At 41.3% G+C, this 17705-nt stretch overlaps 1 long non-coding RNA gene across 4 annotated transcripts in view; it reads right to left on the bottom strand.

Moving 5' to 3' along the window:
• The window catches only part of LOC124900988 (uncharacterized), a 34365-nt gene continuing 18561 nt past the window's right edge, over positions 1902 to 17705 (bottom strand). The window contains exons 2-5 of one of the 4 annotated variants that reach the window (XR_007058793.1): positions 10254 to 10411; positions 5740 to 5847; positions 5339 to 5509; positions 1902 to 5138 (exon numbers count right to left, since the gene is read on the bottom strand). This is a non-coding gene — a long non-coding RNA (uncharacterized LOC124900988). Of the gene's footprint in view, positions 5848 to 10253; positions 10412 to 17705 lie in introns of all 4 variants that reach the window. The other 3 variants (XR_007058791.1, XR_007058790.1, XR_007058792.1) reach the window with 3 other exon arrangements.

Below are 17705 nucleotides of genomic sequence, written 5' to 3'. Positions count from 1 at the left end.
TCACCAACCAGGCATCACGCTTCTCATCTTCTCTCAACCTCCATTGTGCTATGCTCTGAGTAGGACACACAACCAGTGCCCACTCCGACCACCACCCAACTGAGTATTGTACCAATGAACCCTTCACCTTCTCCTCAGGAGTCTTAGTCAGTTTTGTGCTGGTTTAACAAAATACCTGGAATTAGGTAACTTATAAAGAACAAACTTATTTCTCATGGTTCTAGAGCCTGGGAAGTCCCAGTTCAAAGGGCCAGCTGGTGAGGGCCCTATCTCTCTTCTAAGATGGTGCCTTGTTGCTGTGTCCTCCTGAGGGGAAGAATGCTGCATCCTCCCATGTGGAAGGCAGAAGGGCAAGAAAGCCAAACACTGCTGCATGAGGCCTCTTTTATAAGGGCTTTAATCCCATTTATGTGGGAGGAGCCCTGCTGGCCTAATCACTTCTTCAAGACCTCATCTCTTAATTCTGTCACATTGGCCATTAAGTTTCAATACCTGAATTTTGGAGGAGACACATTCAAATTACAACTTCAGGTATGTAAGGAAATTGGCAATAACCTAAAATTTTAAAATTTCTCCTTATATACCCACTCTACCTACACTGGATAGAGGAGTACATGCAAATTAGGTGCCAGGCACTGTCCAGAAAGTCCCAAAGTTTACTTTCAAACCAAACCCTGAAATTGACTCTGGGTCACCAACATCATCAAAGCTTGGGGTGAGCACCAAACCTGGCAGGTGCACAATCAGGAATCACAGTGATGACAGTTCCCACACTGAGTGACTCTGAGCACAGACCTGGCAGGTGCAGAAGTGACTCTTCCAACCCCATTTCTTCATCCATCAGTGAGGAGGTTGGTCTTGATGATTTCTGGGACTTTACCATGCCTAAAATGGCACAATTCTGTGATTGAAAGAGGCATTTTCTCCTCAGCCCCTTCTGTTTCAGGTGAAGAAATCTAAGTCCCGGCTGGTTAACTGACTTGGCCAAGCTCATACTGGTCTTTAGAGCCTGGTCTTCTGTCTCCCAGTCCTATCTCCATCGAACCATTCCTCTCCTGAACCCTGGAAGCTGGATGGCCCTGGATTTTAGGAAAATGAACTGAAGAGGACACACAGCACACAGTAAAAGAAGCCCTGAGTCTGCTCCATGGATCCCTTTGGCATAAGGCAGGGCCCTTAGTACAAAGCCCATAAGTAGATGCCAATTCTTCTCCCTCTTTTCTTCTCCCACCATAGACCCCATTCAGAGCTCAAAGCAAAGCCCAGGGCAGAGGGAGCTCCCTAGGGGGTCTCTGCTTGGGACTGTTCAGATCTGGGGACAGAAACAGCAGAAAGCCACTTACTTCTGAATTCAATGTTGCTATGATCCCCAGCTAGCTCTGCGTGTTTGGAAGGAACACTGTGAGCTGACTTGGAGCCCAACTGGGGGTGCGGTAAGCACTTTGTAAGTATTCCCTAAGCAACACTCAGATAACCCTTTGGGAATAATTATTATCTCTCATTGATGGCAAAACTCATTCAGCCACAGGAGTGTTGAGTGCCTTGTTATGCTAACAAGGTGAAGTCAGTAGAAGAGAAAGCAGTCAGATCTTGAGTTCCACACCAAGAACTGCATGTTCAGTAGGTTCATTTAATATGGTTTCCTAAATGAAAGTCACTGATGGCTACTTGGCAATGGTCATATGAGAAAGTTCTGGCAAAGGCTGTTAACTTTTCTTTTTTTTGAGACAGGGTCTCATTCTGTCACCCAGGCTGGAGTGCAGTGGCATGATCACGGTTCACTGCAGTCTCGACCTCCCAGGCTCAGCCTCCTGAGTAGCTGGGACTAAAGGCGCATGCCACCACCCCCAACTAATTTTTTTGTATTTTTTGTTAAAATGGGGTTTCACCATGTTGCCCGGGCTGGTAAATTAAAGAAAAAAAAAGGGAGACATTGGATAGTTAGAATTAACCATCCAATAGAGGAGTTATATTATAAGAGATTTAATCTGGAAGAAGATCCTTTCTTTTGCAGGGTTGTTTGTGCCATTTTCTTTGATGATCTAATGCATCTTCAGTTTTTCCATGACCCAAGCCGAGACTGAAAATAATACAATCATGTGCAACCAACATTTTTTAGATACAAATAACTTGGAACACAGTCTGCCTATTGCTGTAAATGACTTACAAATTGTTCTATGTGAGGAACACCATGTGAGACTTCCAAATATCTGCCTAGGTGTCAACAAGTACCAAGGCAGGCTGATAGAAGTGACTGAATAGGTTCACATTCCAGGAACTCAGCACTCTGAAATGTCTGCATGGTTCAGAAAGCCAGGAACTTTGTGTGTGTATAATATAAGCACATTGATAAAAATCACACCACAGTGGTCACCCCTGCAACACTTCCAAATCCCATTGCCAGGGGTAACCGAAGAAAATGTTGAGATCTGATTAGCTAAGACACCCTTAGCTTATGTCAGTTATGTAGTAAGCTACATGGAAATGCAGCTATTCCAATACTATCACAAGTTTTCTTCTAAGCTTGGTCTATTTTGGAAATAGAAGTGAGATAATGCACAAAAAAGAACCAAGGAATATCGGAGTAGGAAGGGACCTCAGAGCTAATCAACCCAGCCTCCCACTTCACTGCACAGAGAAGTAAACTGAGTTGCTATCTTAGGTCACACATTCCCTGAAAGCAGAGCCTGAGACAGGGATTCAGGTGCCCATGATTTACTGAGGGCGTGCTCTTCAGGAAACACATCTGAGGGAGTAAGAGAAGTAGTATAAGGAAGAAGCAAGTGCTGGTTAAGGATGTGACCTCAGCAAAGTTCAGTCTTGGCCTGAAGGGCTCTGGCTATAGGCTTTCCCCCAAAAAGTGGGGAGCTGATATCAGAAGTGGATGGTTCCCAGAGAAAGGAACAGCTGTGAGCTGTTAGATCTCAGTGCCCACAGCAGCTGGGAGATGGGTCCCTGGGCCCGTGATGGGGATCGGGGCAGGGTCACAGTGTCCACTATGGCCCCAGAGAAATGACTCATGCAATGTGCCACAGACAACTCCAACCCAAGTTTTCTGGGTCTCATTCACTCCTCCTTCTACTACACAAAGCTGCCTCTTCAGAGTTTTTTGTTTTGTTTTGTTTTTTGAGTTTGTGTGTTTTCTCTTTTTCTTCAGAATTTCAGAACCCGATTTCATTAATTTTATTTCCCCAAGGATTGGATGACTTGGTGAACTCTGATAATCTGGAAAGATCTGAGGCCATTTTTTAATCCACCTGGAATAGCTCGATCCTTTTAATTATTTTTCAATTTGAACCTTATTTACTTTATAGTAAATGGTAAATGCTAGACATGTCCTGGTGCCTGCTTCACCCCAAGACCTTCCTAGAAACCGTGTCACATCCACAGTACTTTCTGTAAATGGACAACCTGTAGCCAGACTGATTAGAGTAGAAGGAGGCACCCGTCCCATGAACAAGCAATTCGTAGGAGAATTCTCTCTGTTTTTTCCTTTGTTTGCATGTTTTGAACCTCATGCAAAATAAATAAATAAAAGGTGTAAGCTGTGCAAATAAAATTTCTCAAAAATATCAGAGAGTCAGGCAATAATTAAGGGAAGCTGAAAGGTAAACCTATAACCGATAGGGAGATAGAGAGAGAGCGGGGGAAGGAAACAGAGAGACAGAGGGAAGACAAAGTGGCTAAATGGGCCACATAGAAGCTGATGTTCTAAGGGAGCATGCACTGAGTAATGAAGACTCTTGGAAGAGAAAAAACACTGGGTAGAGGATGAGGAGTCTAAGTCACCAGAGAATGGAACAGAAACAGAGAGGGGGGTCTCTGAGTCTATTGATGGCAGAGCTCAAAACTGAAGATCCATGAACTGTTCCTAAAGAAGTGGTGTTTTATAAGCCAGACAAAGGGTTTGGAAACCTGGGGAAGGTATTTGTCTACCAGAGTAGGACAGATATTAAGGTGGGAACACAGCTGCAGGCAAGAGGAGGAGACTTGGCTGGTCAGAAGATCATGTCCAGAGAAGCTAGGGGCTGATGAAAGGCAAAGAACTCGGGAATTGCAGCCAATGGTAATGAGTTGGGAGACCAGCCAGGTGGCAGAGCTCTCCCCAGGGGGATGGGAACAGACTGTGTGGTGATGTGGCACAGGCTTAGGGAAGTCAAAGGCAGGAACCATGACATGGGCACAATGCCAGTCCCAGGGAGACTTGGCAGGTGCACAGTCCAGGCCAGGTAAGAGGGGGGACCAATGAGAGGGGGGATAGAGGAAGGAAGAAGGGACCTGGTGGAAGCACCAAGTCCCAGGAGGTGGAGCAGCAGGATAGTTTCTTGAGGGTCTTTTCTTGGTTAAGGTTTCTTTTGTCCTTTCTCTAGCTTGGCAGGCACTGGAAGACTGGATGGAGTCTGAATCTCCAGGGGTTAAAGGCAGCTCCTCTTGTTATCTAAGTCTATGTTTGCTGAATATGCAAACATTCTGTGAGTATGGATCTTAAAAAGCTATCAAAAAGAGCAAAGCTCCTATAGGGAAAATGTGCTATTAATCTTAAAAGTTCTTTTCATTTTTTTATGGCTGTTCTCCAATAAAACATGACATTGTGGTTTTGTTTATTTTAGAATACTATAGTTTTGATAAAGCCCCAAATCCTTACATCAAATATATTCTTCAATGTCAAAAGGGCATGCAAAGATATGGTTCCTAATGAAAGATTTATCTTTTATCTGACAGTGATGATTTAGCTAGTGCTGATCTCTTCATCCTCTTTTCCGTTAAAAAAAAAATAAGTTGAACAAAATTACCTTTCTTGGAATAACAGCGCCTCTAAAAACCTGCCTGCTTTGTCATTACCTCTGTAATCTCCCTTGGAGATCATGGGCTATTCATTTTCTCCCTAACTCCAATTTGCCTTTTGATATTTTTCTTTGGTTTGTTCAAACAGTCTCCCAATTGCCCAGCTCATCAGAGCGAGGCCTTGGTGCGAGCGGGAGCGTGTCGCCCAGCGCTCCGCCAGCTTTGGGCCCCTCCGTGCACTGTGGAGGAGCTTTGAAAATGGTCTAAGCTCTTCTCGTTAAAGCTTTCTCTAGCTCTTATCCCCGTGACGTCTTTTATCTACATATCATGTCAGAGGCTGCAGCTTCACGGTCCTAAAAAAAAAAAAAAAAAAGGTAGCTGCCAGGCCTTAAAAAAAGGAAAGAGAAAAAGAATGGCTGGAAAGATGAGAGAATTACATGCGAATGCTCAGGGGACCATGTACAGCTGGGAAGAGGGTTCCCTGCACGAGGAGGCCTGAAATTCAGCCTGTGTAGGGCTGCATGTGCCTGGACAGGTACCTCCTCCCACTTACACCAAGGGGCCATCTGGTTGGCAGCTACTCTGGGTTCTTTTCCAGATGTCGAGTTGGGCCAGTGACGGATAGATATAGTGTTGCTGCTTTTTCTGGTGTTTTGAGCTGTTGCTGTTGTCTTTGGTTATTTTCCCTTTCATTCCATCGGTGTGATTTCGTCCCTAATGGCCCCTGTGGAAAGTTCAGCAGCCCGTGGCATCACAGTGGTTCAGAGGATGCATTGCACAAATGAGAAATCTTACATACATCTCCTGCTTCTCCTCTTACACAGCCCTTTGGAAAGAAATTTCTCTCCATGTTTAATCAGTGGTGCACTCACTTCGTCCTTGCTAGATTTTGAATGCACAACCACATCCCACCTCATTAGTGACAAGAAAGCTGAGCCGTCAAGCATGGCTTACACTCCAGGAGCGGGGTCTGTATTAGAGCAAGGTCCAGGATCCACGCACAAGCTGAGTTGGCTTTTTCTTTTCTTTTAAGCTTTATCGATCTCAGGAAGAACTGAAGGTCTGTTGAAAAAGTGTGGGAATCAGCTCAACATACTAATTTATGTATTATTTATGCACTTAAAGAAGCCTAGACTCCCGGCAAGAAAGAAAAATGTGTGCAATAGAACTGCCATTGTATTCAATCCCAACATCCGGAGCACTTCACACACGCACTGTGAAGTCTCATGGGGGAGAATGGGATATGGGAAGCAAAGCAGAATTTGAAATTGGCCTGTGCTTGAGCACCACCTCCATCATGAGACCGGGGCAAATGACTGCACCTCTCTAGGCTTCAATTTTCTCATCTCTAAAATGCAGACAAATGCCTATTTGCAGGGTTATTATAAGAATTAAATGAGAAAAGTAGTGCATGAATTTCTAAGTCATTACAAATGCCTGTTGTAGGTATCCTGTGTGAGGAGGGGCACAGGTCCTGCTCCTGGGTTTCTTGTCATGGAATGGCCGCCTTTCCTGACCAAAGGCCCCAGTGAGAACAGACAACCCTAGAGCACTAAAGAATTCTCCTATCTTTACCAATAGGACACAGAACAAAGACTTGCTCCATTAATTCAGGCCACAGCTAGCATGCATCCATCACTCAATCTCTCTCTCTCTCTATACACATACATACATATATATACATATATATACATACATATATATGTATATATATGTATGTATGTGTATATATATATATATAAAATAAAATAAAACCACCTCAGTCACCCACCTACCATAAAGCAATAAGTCCAGTATTTTCCTAATAACCTCAGCCCCATATTAATGGCCAGCCTGCCTCTCATATTCGGCAAGGAGAGCACTGGTCTCTGAACAATCCACTCCTGCCTGGTTCCTTGCTGCCACCAACATGGCTGCTGAACTCTGACTGCCCACAGCCTGAGATGTTCCCTCCACACTGTGCTGGCCTTATACCTTTGGTCTTCTGAGGGAGGATGGTCAACTTTAATGTCCAGCTCAGCGAAGGCTGTGCACCCCTCTCCCCAGCAAGGGTTCTAGGACAGCAGTTCTTAGGTGATACTCCCTCCCTCCCTCCTCCAGGTGTCAGGATTCCAGGGATTGTCTGTCAGAATTGTTTTACATAGCAAGAACTCTCTGACTATTTCAATTCCCCGTAATCCACATCCCTGTGCCTCCAACCCCTAGAAAGCAAGCAGATCTTTCTTTTCAGCCTTTGAAATCCACTGGTTCTCCTCCTGTTCAATATCCCTGCTTCTAGCTAATTGAAACTATATATATGTTATTGTTAACTACAGTCATCCTACAGTGGTATAGAACACTAGAACTCACTCCTCCCATCTAGCCATAATTTTGTGTCCTTTAACAAATCTCTCCCTAGCCCCCTCTTCCCCCAACTCTTCCCGGCCTCTAGTATCCTCTATTCTACTTTTCATTTCTATAAGATCAACTTTTTCTAGCTTTCACATATAAGTGAGAATATATAGTGTTTAACTTTCTGTTCCTAGCTTATTTCACTTAACATAGTGTCCTCCAGTTCCCTCCATGGTGCCACAAATGACAGGATTTCATTCTTTTTATGGCTGATTAATAGTCCATTGTGTGTGTGTGTATATATATATATATATATATATATCACATTTTCTTTATCTGCTCATCTGTTGTTGGACACCTAGGTTGATTGCAGGTCTTGGCTATTGTGAATAGTGCTGCAATAAACACAGGGGTTCAGATGGCCCTTCAATATAATGATGTCTTTTCCTTTGAATAAATTCCTACAGCTCCCCTTTGTTCCCTTCCCCCCTCATCCTCCCCTCCCCACTCCATCCCGACGCGTACCTCATCTTCTCTCCTTCCCACCCACATCCAAAAAGGACAAAGCTTCCTCTTCAGTTTCACCACAGTGACTTAATCTCTTGTGCAAAAGACAAGGTAAATCCTCGGTAAGACCTTTTACTACAGTTGCAATATTTATCCAAATTGTCTTATGTGGGACAAACTCTGTGCTCGATAGTTCACATCCTTACCTCACTTAATTCTCACAACGACTTTGTGTAAATATTACAAAGAGAAACTGAGATTCTAAGGGGTTAAACGGCTGTTCCAAGGTCACACAGCTTGTCGACTCCACCACTTGTTAGAGCCCCTATCCCCTGGCATTCAGCTCCACACTCCTGTCCTGTATATTTCACAACACTTACTATGCCAGGACTTCTTAGCAGTTCGTAGCACTTCTCACAAAATAATCATTTCATCCTCACATACCCTGTGAGGTAAGTACTATTATTATCCCATTTCACAGATGCAGAGACTGAGACATAGGGAATTTAGATAACTTTTCCAAAGGCCTACAGCTGATGAGTAGACAGGGATGCAAACCCAGGTAGTCTGAGACCCTTCAGGTTGTATGGCTTCTACCTAGCCTAGCTCCTCCCAGAAGGGAATTCCCTCTCTCCCAGAATCCTACTCCCAGTAGAGGACTGGCAGTGTTGATGGGATAGGGTATGAGCCAGTGGGACAGGGACTATTGCATCCATGTGGCCTGGGAATGGGGTTTCCTACAGTCTCCTGTTCTGAGGAGATGGAGGCTGTGGAGCCAGGACCAGGGAGAGAAATGAGCCAGGATCTCCTGCTTGTGTGTGATGTTCCTGAGGCCCTGCCACAAATAGACTGTCAGAGTGCCCAAATCACACCTGAAACATTCCTTCTTTTGAATCCTATAGACTTCTAGACTGAGAGCCGCCTACTAAAATGAAAACACCTCTGGGAGCTGAATCTCCCTAAATACCACTTCAGCAGAGGTGACAAATGGTCAGAGCCACACAGCCTTTCTTTCACTTTTCTCCTCTCAGTTGCCACAGTGTGCTTAGCCCAGAAATGGCTCTCCCTGGCCATCAGGAGCAGAGCTGGGGGCCCTGGCCTAATGCTTAGGAAAGAGGGCGGCAGAGGAAGCTGACATCAGAGCCAAGGCTGAATTGCCACAGTCAGGTACAGTGAGACAGGGACAAACAAGTTCCCAAGGGGAGGAGAAATGTGGGCTGCCACCACAGGAGTCCCCTCCCAGGCTGCACAGAGCATTCCCTCATGGCACACATGTGTGCCACCTGCAGTGGCACCCTGAAACCTGTCCATCCTCCCGGCTCCACTTCCACACAACATGACAAACACTGCTTACTGGGAACCCCTGTGACTGTCTGACCGAGGAGGGCTCTTTTTCTGATTTTGGGAACATACTCAGCTGACACATAGGGCAAGGTGGAAGAGTCAAGGAGTTAATGACCCCAAAGGTAGCCTGAACCAGTGATGAAAGCTGCTGAATCAATATCCAGCTGCAATGACCCCGGGGGAAGTCCTATGTTGTCTCCCAACATTCTCCCACATGCCCCAGCTCCAGGTGCCTGGCTTTCACGTACCCTTTACTGGTGTCTTTTCTCGTCTCACTTCCCCACCCATCTACCAGTGGCTTCTGGAGTGAACTCTCAGTTGAGTTACATGTGCTCAAATCCTTGATTGGGGATCTGCCTTGGGGGGCATTACTCTGGGTATTTAATTTTATTCAATTTTCCCTCCATATTTTGTTTGTCTTCTTGGCTAGTTTGAAGCTGTTTTGCCACAATTCATTCTAGGATGTCATCCCCTGTTTTGCATTTTGTATGGATGCATAGACAGTCCTGTGACCCACAGGAGAACATACAGAAGTGGACTGTGAAGATAAAGGAGCAAAAAACAATGACAAGTATTGTCTTTAGTGAAGAGACACATTGACTATCATCCTTAAAATAAACTTAGCTCAATCATTTCTATCAAGCTCTATATTAGCTCATGTCAATGATTTAATAAACAATCATTGAGCACCAATATGTATAGAATATGCTGCTAGACACTGTGAGTGATACAAAGTGTAAGACACAGCTCCTCCCTCTGGAAGGTAATACATGAATTGAGGAAACAAAACCTGTGCACCTAACAACAACTCATCAAGCAAGATTGCATGCACTAAATACCAAATGGATGCCATGTGACTTTACATTTCAAGGGACAGTAGAATAAGTTTAATTTCTGGATATGCCATCAAAGAATTCAAAAAGAATTTCATTCCCTTTGCTAACTGCAAAGCAAATAGCTTTCCATCAGAGGAGCCCCTGGTCAGTTCTGCACTGCAGGGGAAGCAGCAGCATCAGAGATTTATTCACAGATGAAATTTATGATTGTCTGTAATTGATGCCTCTCAGAAGCATTAGAAAATACCTTGCTAATCTAACAAGGTATCTGACCTCAGAATCTCTACCAATAGCATTACTTCTTTGCATGAAATATTTGTTAGTTGCTTAGAGGCCCCCTATCCAAGCATGTTTTCTAGGGTTTAACCTGATTCTAGGGGTTATCACCAATGATCCCAAAATCCTTGAATCTCAGAGGTACAAGGGACCCAAGAGGTCTTCCAGTCTCACCATGTCTCCATAGGTCGCCCTCCAGCTTGGCCACTTCCAATGACCTGAAGTTCACTCCTTTGGTATCCCATTTCTTTGGAAGCATCCCAAAGTGGTAGAATATTCTTCCTCCAGTATAAAGTTTCTCTTGGAGTCGTAGAGAAAGGATGACAACAATTCTACAAAGAGAGAAGAAAGGCTGCCATAAATACCCAGTAGAGCAAGAAACTCACCCCACGTAGCGAAGGTGAAGCATGCATACTCTCATCCCAGGCATAGGCCAGCAGTGCTGAGGAATTGTTTTGAGGCATGCATACTCTCATCACAGGCATAGGCCAGCAGTGCTGAGGAATTGTTTTGAGGCATGCATACTCTCATCCCAGGCATAGGCCAGCAGTGCTGAGGAATTGCTCCCTCAAATATTCCCAGGAATTTATTCAATAGTCTTCAACAGACAGGTTTATAAGGTTCAGCGAGCCCAAATGACTTGAAAATACCTAAAGGCTAGACATTCTGAGGTTAGGCCAGGGTGCCATAATTACTTTTGTGTCTACTGGGGCTTGCCCTCAGAAGGGGTAGATCAACAACAGAGAATCCCAAGAGAGATCTTGACCCTTCAGAGAAAGATAGCTGTTTGGAGGGGTTGGGAGTCCCAGGAAGAAAGTAGATGCATGTTCAGAGTTCAACCTCTACCTGCAAGAGTTTATTGAGTATCTACTTAATATAACAACTGAAACAGTTGGTTCTTGCTTTTAAGGCACTCATTCCGTGTGCCTTTTATCCAAGCCTTTGATTTCCTCCAAGCTGCTGCACTTAAACTGATCCACAGTTGTAACATGTGGTTTCCTTAAGACTTCTTTTTTTTTTGAACAATGCAAAAAAATAGCAAAGATTAATATTTTGGAATTCCATATCACCATGATGCAGAATTAACAATTTTATTTGCTGTCTATTCATGAGCCTCATCCCTCCTTTTTCACTTTTACCCCCAAGCTTTCACTCCCAGAAAATCACTGCCCTGAGTTTAGTATGTGTCTTTCAGTCCATTTCTTCTATAATTTTACATTCATAATCCTTTATTTTCTACCCCAATTTAAAAGTTATACTTTCTACTTCAGTAAACTTTCAGGATACAAAATCAATGTACAAATATTAGTAGCATTTCTATACACCTATAATGTTCAAGCTGAGAGCCAAATAAAGAACACAATCCCCTTTACAATTGCCACACAGAAAAATAAAACACCTAGGAATACATCTAACCAAATTGGTAAAAGAGCTCTACAAGGAGAACTACAAAACACTGCTGAAAGAAATCATAGTGACACAAACAAATGGAAAAACATTCCATGTGCATGGATTGGGAGAATCAATATCACTAAAATGGCCATACTGCCCAAAGCAATCTACAGACTGAATACTATTCTTATCAAATTACCAACGTTGTTTTCACAGAACTAAAAAAAAAAAAAAAAAAAAAAAAAAAAAAAAATTCTAAAATTCATAGGGAATCAAAAAAGACCCTGAATAGTCAAAGTAATCCTAAGCAGAAAGAACAAAGCTGGAAGCATCATATTACCTGACATCAAACTATACCATAAGTAACCAAACATGGTACTGATGCAAAAACAGACACATAAATCAATGGAACGGAACAGAGAACCCAGAAATAAAGGCACACACTACAGCCATCTGATCTTTCTTTGACAAAGTTGACAAAAATAAAAAAAAATGGGGTTGGGTGCAGTGGCTCATGCCTGTAATCCTAGCACTTACTCCTGAGGTCAGGAGTTCGAGACCAGCCTGCCCAACATGGTGAAATCTTGTCTCTACTAAAAATACAAAAATTTGCCAGGCATGGTGGCGCATGCCTGTAATCCCAGCTGAGGCAGGAGAATCACTGGTACCTAGGAGGCGGAGGCTGCAGTGAACTGAGATCATGCTACTACACTCCAGCCTGGGCAACAGAGCAAGATTGGGTCAAAAAAAAAAAAAAGCAATGGGAAAGGACTTCCTATTTAATAAATGGTGCTAGTATACTTGGCTAGCCATATGCAGAAGAATGAAACTGGACCCCCACCTGTCACCATATACAAAAATTAACTCAAGATGGATTAAAGATAAAAATGTAAGACCTCAAACTATAAAGATCATAGAAGAAAACCTAGAAAACACCATTCTGAACATTGGCCTTGGGAAAGAATTTATGACTAAGCTCTAAAAAGCAATTGTGACAAGAACAAAAATTAACAAGTAGGACCTAATTAAAGTAAAGAGCATCTGCACAGCAAAAAAAAACTATCCACAAAGTAAGCAGACATACTACAGAATGGGAGAAAATATTCACCATCTATGCATCAACCAACAAAGGTCTAACATCCAGAATCTATAAAGAATGTAAAAAACTCAACAAGCAGAAAACAAATAACCCCATTTAAAAATGGGCAAAAGGTATGAACAGACACTTCTCAAAGACAACATACATGCAGGCAACAAACATATGAAAAAATGCTTCACCTCACTAATCATCAAAGAAATGTAAATCAAAACCACAATGAGATACCATCTCACACCAGTGAGAATAACTTTTGTCAAAAAGTCAAAAAATAACAGATGCCAGCAAGGCTGTGGAGAAAAGGGAATGCTTATTCACTGCTAGTGGGAATGTAAATTAGTACAGACACTGTGGAAAGCAGTTTGGAGATTTCTCAAAGAATTTAAAACAGAACTACCATTCAACTCAGCAAATACCATTACTGGGTATATATCCAAAAGGAAACAAACAAATCACTCTACCAAAAAGACATATGCACTTGTATGTTTATCACAGCACTATTCACAATAGCAAGGACATGAAATCAATGTAGGTGCCCATCAATGGTGAATTAGATAAATAAAATGCAGTACATATACACTAGGAATACTATGCAGCCAAAAAAAGAATAAAATCATGTCCTTTGCAGTAACATGGATGCATGTGGAGGTCATTATCCTAAGCAAATTGACACAGAAACAGAAAACCAAATACTACATATTCTCACTTTTAAGTGGGAGCTAAACATTGGGTGCTCAGGGACATAAAGATGACAACAATAGAAACTAAGGATTACTGGGGGAGGAGGAAGGATCAAAAAACTAACTGTTGGGTAACAAGCTCAGTACCTGGGTGACAGGATCATTCATACCCCAAACCTCAGCATCATGCAATATATCCAGGTAACAAACCTGCATATACAGTCCCTGAGTCTAAAATAAAAGTTTATTATGGCATAATAAATAGGTGGGTGAATTGTTCCTTAGTAAAATTAAATCTATTTTGTTAAATCTATTTGTTGTTATTGAAGTAATAAAACTTGCAATTTAATTTTTTTAATTTAAATTATAAATAAAAGTTTCACTTTCTATGTACATTCTTTTAGTGGTTACTCTTTAGATTTTAAAATACATACTTAACTATATTTTTGTAACTGAGTCTAAAGTTATTTGGTATCTGTATGTATCTCCTAAACTTTAGCTTGCTTTAACTCCCTTCCCAAATGAACCTTTGTTATTTTTATGTCAGAATTTTAGTTATATTTTGCTTTTAAACATATAAATAAGTTATTGTTTGCTTCTTGCATCCCATACCTTTCTTTTGGTCCATTTTTATTCCAGCTTTACAACATCCTTTATTATTTCTATCTGTGAGTGGTAAACTCTTCAAGTTCTTTCATATCTAAAATATCTTCATTTTTCCCTCACTTTTAAAATATCATCCAGCTGGTGTTATATAGTCTACAGTTTGTTTTAAAATATTTCAGAAGAAGTAGCATGACATATATTTCTGAATATATGCTAGTTGTGGTTGGTAAAGATTGGAAGTACCTAATCAATGATAAACACTCCAAGGTTGGTTAATTAGAATTGAAAGATCCCATTCAAGATTAGACTCCTCAGAGGCAACTTCTTCAAGCCTAGTAAATACTGCTGTCTAAAACCACAGGAGAGCATTAATTGGCATGATGATTTAGAAATATTTTTTAATTGTTGAAATAATTGGTGGTCAAGCTATGCAGATTGGTTAGGAATATTGTACAGGTACCTCCTTCACTTCTGCATGAACAGGGTGTAATATTAGGTCCACCCAGCAGCTCAACTCCCTGCAAGCAATGGACTTGCTTTCTACCTGTGTTCTACCATTTCACAGAGGACTCTGTTAATTTCCAACAGGAAAGTGAGCTGATTCTGCTTCTAGAATATTATCACATCTGCCTCTAGAGAGTCTTTTATGCAAGGCATTAGTAGAAATGCCTAAAGAATGAAGAAATATAATTTAATTGACCTTATAAGAACAAGCATGACTATTACTTGTGCCTGCTTACCAAAAAATGCTTGTGACCATGGTAGAATTCACCCTGATACTTGCTTTCATTATAAATATCCTACCTGGTGGCAAGATTGTGCAGAAGGAAATCTCACTTACTACTAATCACTGGAGGCCACCAAAATTTACCCAAAAAATAAGGCAGTGATTGACTAGGCTTAGGTTGGTTCCTAACAACTGAATATGAAATTCTAGGATTAGAGTGTTTCAGAGTGGTATCTATTGTCTTCTGACAATTACCAGTGAAAACTCTGCTGTCAGTCTGATTGCTGTTGGCTCACAGCTAACTCTGGTGGATTTTAGGATTTTATATTCTGCTGTTCTACCACAATGGAACTCACCAAAAGATTTTTTTTTCTCTTTCAATCCTTCTTGACATTCTGAATTTTTCTTTCTAGAAACCCATGTCTCCATATTTAGACAATACTCAGCCACTGTGTCTTTGAATCTTGGCTTTTTATCATTATCGCTATTCTTTCCTTACAGAGCTCTGCTCTTTGCTCCTAGAGTTTCTATTAGATATACATTGGAGTTTCTCATTCTATCCTCCATGACTCCTGATTTCTGCCATATTTCTATCTCTTGATCTCTCTATACTACATATGAAAAACTGTGTCAGTTCCATCTTTCAAATCATTAATTCTCTCTTTATCTGTGTCTAACCTATACTGTAACCCATCTACTGAGCTTTTTATTTCAATGACTATTTCTCATTTTTAAGATTTCAACTTGGTTCTTTTTAATTTGACTTTGAATAATTTATTAATATTTCTGGCATTTCTATGTGTTTGGCATGGAAACATGGTCTCTTAGCATATGCTCAATCTGGTCTTTTCACTCAAAAGTCATCACATTGATCCTTCAGTGTGGCTGGGAGTTGGATTTAAGGCAACTTGATTTTAAGAAGATATAATAGTAGAATTATGAGGAAGGCACCCAGAATCTTTTTACTGTTAGGCCAGAACCAGGAGAGGGACAATAGTAAAGCAGGAATCTGAAATATTTCATATGCATGGAGAAACCATTTTACAGCTACTTCACAATTACATCATGCTCTCTAATGATAGGTTTTCATCATCATGGATAGAGCTTGGCTTGGTAACTCCAAACTCTTGAGAGAAAACTGTGCCAAAAGCAGAGGTGTTTGATCCTGGGAGAGACAGTTATTAAGGGAAAATTTTATGCAAATAAATCAGCAAACACTAAGCAGCTGGATACCTGCTACCAGGGCAAGCTTGGAGAGACTTAGAGGCCAGCTGGCAGGGAAACTGCTAATTGAAAATAGACAATCATGGGGTTCTTAAGCAGATCAGTGATATCATGCTGCTACTTCATTTTTCTTTTTTTTTCTGCTTTGTGACAGAATTGAGAGAAGATACAAGGGACATTTTAGTTGGTTAAGGATGCCAGAAAGGTTAAAATCAGGCCACCCTCTCGGTAGTCAACAGTCTATACGGAAAAAAAAAAAGGATATGGTTCTGATGGAGAAATGGTGGAGACCACAGAGCTAGAAGTCTTGTAATTGCAAAAACAAAAGAAAACACTAAAAGAACTAAGATTTACTATTGTCCTCAGGACAAACAGGGTTAATATTAACTGAAAACCAGTTAAGCATTACTGTTGACTCTCCTGGAACAACTGCTATAATGCAGATTCCTGGGCTTCCATCCAGGTACTTGATTCAGTAGGTCTGGAATGGGGGTCAGAAATCTGCATGTTAATAAGCATTCAGATTCTGATAGGATTCTTATAGGAATAGTCAAAAAACACAGTGAGAAACATTGGATTAAATTGTGGTGCAAATTCTATCTAGTGATGGTAAATATTTCAATTTGGGGCTAAAATGTGATTTAGCTCTTAAATAAAATAATTATTGATTAGTAGATGTTTGCACTAAGTTATATGCATAAGCTTCTTTCATGGAAACAGAAAACTAGAGTGGAAAGCCATGCTAACTGGGCTTCTCTGTTACCCACACCTGTGAGGAGGGCGTCCTCTAAAGCAGCTCACCCAGCGCAGTGGTTCTCAATCCTGACTGCACATTAGATCATCTGGGGTGCTTATTAAAAATACCAGTGCCCCAAGAAAAGGATGCCCTCTCTTACCACTCCTATGCAACATAGTGTTGGAAGTTCTGGCCAGGGCAATCAGGCAAGAGAAAGAAAGAAAGGGTATTCAATTAGGAAAAGAGGAAGCCAAATTGTCCCTGTTTGCAGATGACATATATTTAGAAAACCCCATTGTCTCAGCCCAAAATCTCCTTAAGCTAATAAGCAACTTCAGCAAAGTCTCAGGATACAAAATCAATGTGCAAAAATCACAAGCATTCCTATACACCAATAACAGAAACAGAGAGCCAAATCATGAGTGAACTCACATTCATAATTGCTACAAAGTGAATAAAATACCTAGGAATCCAACTTACAAGGGATGTGAAGGACCTCTTCAAGGAGAAATACAAACCATTACTCAACAAAATAAAAGAGGACACAAACAAATGGAAGAATATTCCATGCTCACGGATAGGTAAAATCAGTATCATGAATATGGCCATACTGCCCAAGGTAATTTATAGATTCAATGCCATCCCCATCAAGCTACCATTGACTTTCTTCACAGAACTGGAAAAAACTACTTTAAAGTTCATATGGAACCAAAAAAAGAGCCCCCATTGCCAAGACAATCCTAAGCAAAAAGAACAAAGCTGTAGGCATCACGCTACCTGACTTCAAACTATACTACAAGGCTACAGGAACCAAAACAGCATGGTACTGGTACCAAAACAGAGATATAGACCAATGGAACAGAACAGAGCCCTCAGAAATAACACCAAACATTAACAACCATCTGATCTTTGACAAACCTGACAAAAATAAGAAATGGAGAAAGAATTCCCTATTTAATAAATGGTGCTGGGAAAACTGGCTAGCCATGTGTAGAAAGCTGAAACTGGATCCCTTCCTTACACTAAAATTAATTCAAGATGGATTAAAGACTTAAATGTTAGACCTAAAACCATAAAAACCCTAGAAGAAAACCTAGGCAATACCATTTAGGACATAGGCATGGGCAAAGACTTCATGACTAAAACACCGAAAGCAATGACAACA

This window comes from Homo sapiens, chromosome 5 (genome assembly GCF_000001405.40).
Source record: "Homo sapiens chromosome 5, GRCh38.p14 Primary Assembly".
Taxonomy (NCBI): domain Eukaryota; kingdom Metazoa; phylum Chordata; class Mammalia; order Primates; family Hominidae; genus Homo; species Homo sapiens.
The sequence above is the reverse complement of the archived record's forward strand: the minus strand, read 5'-3'. Positions and strand labels throughout refer to the sequence as shown.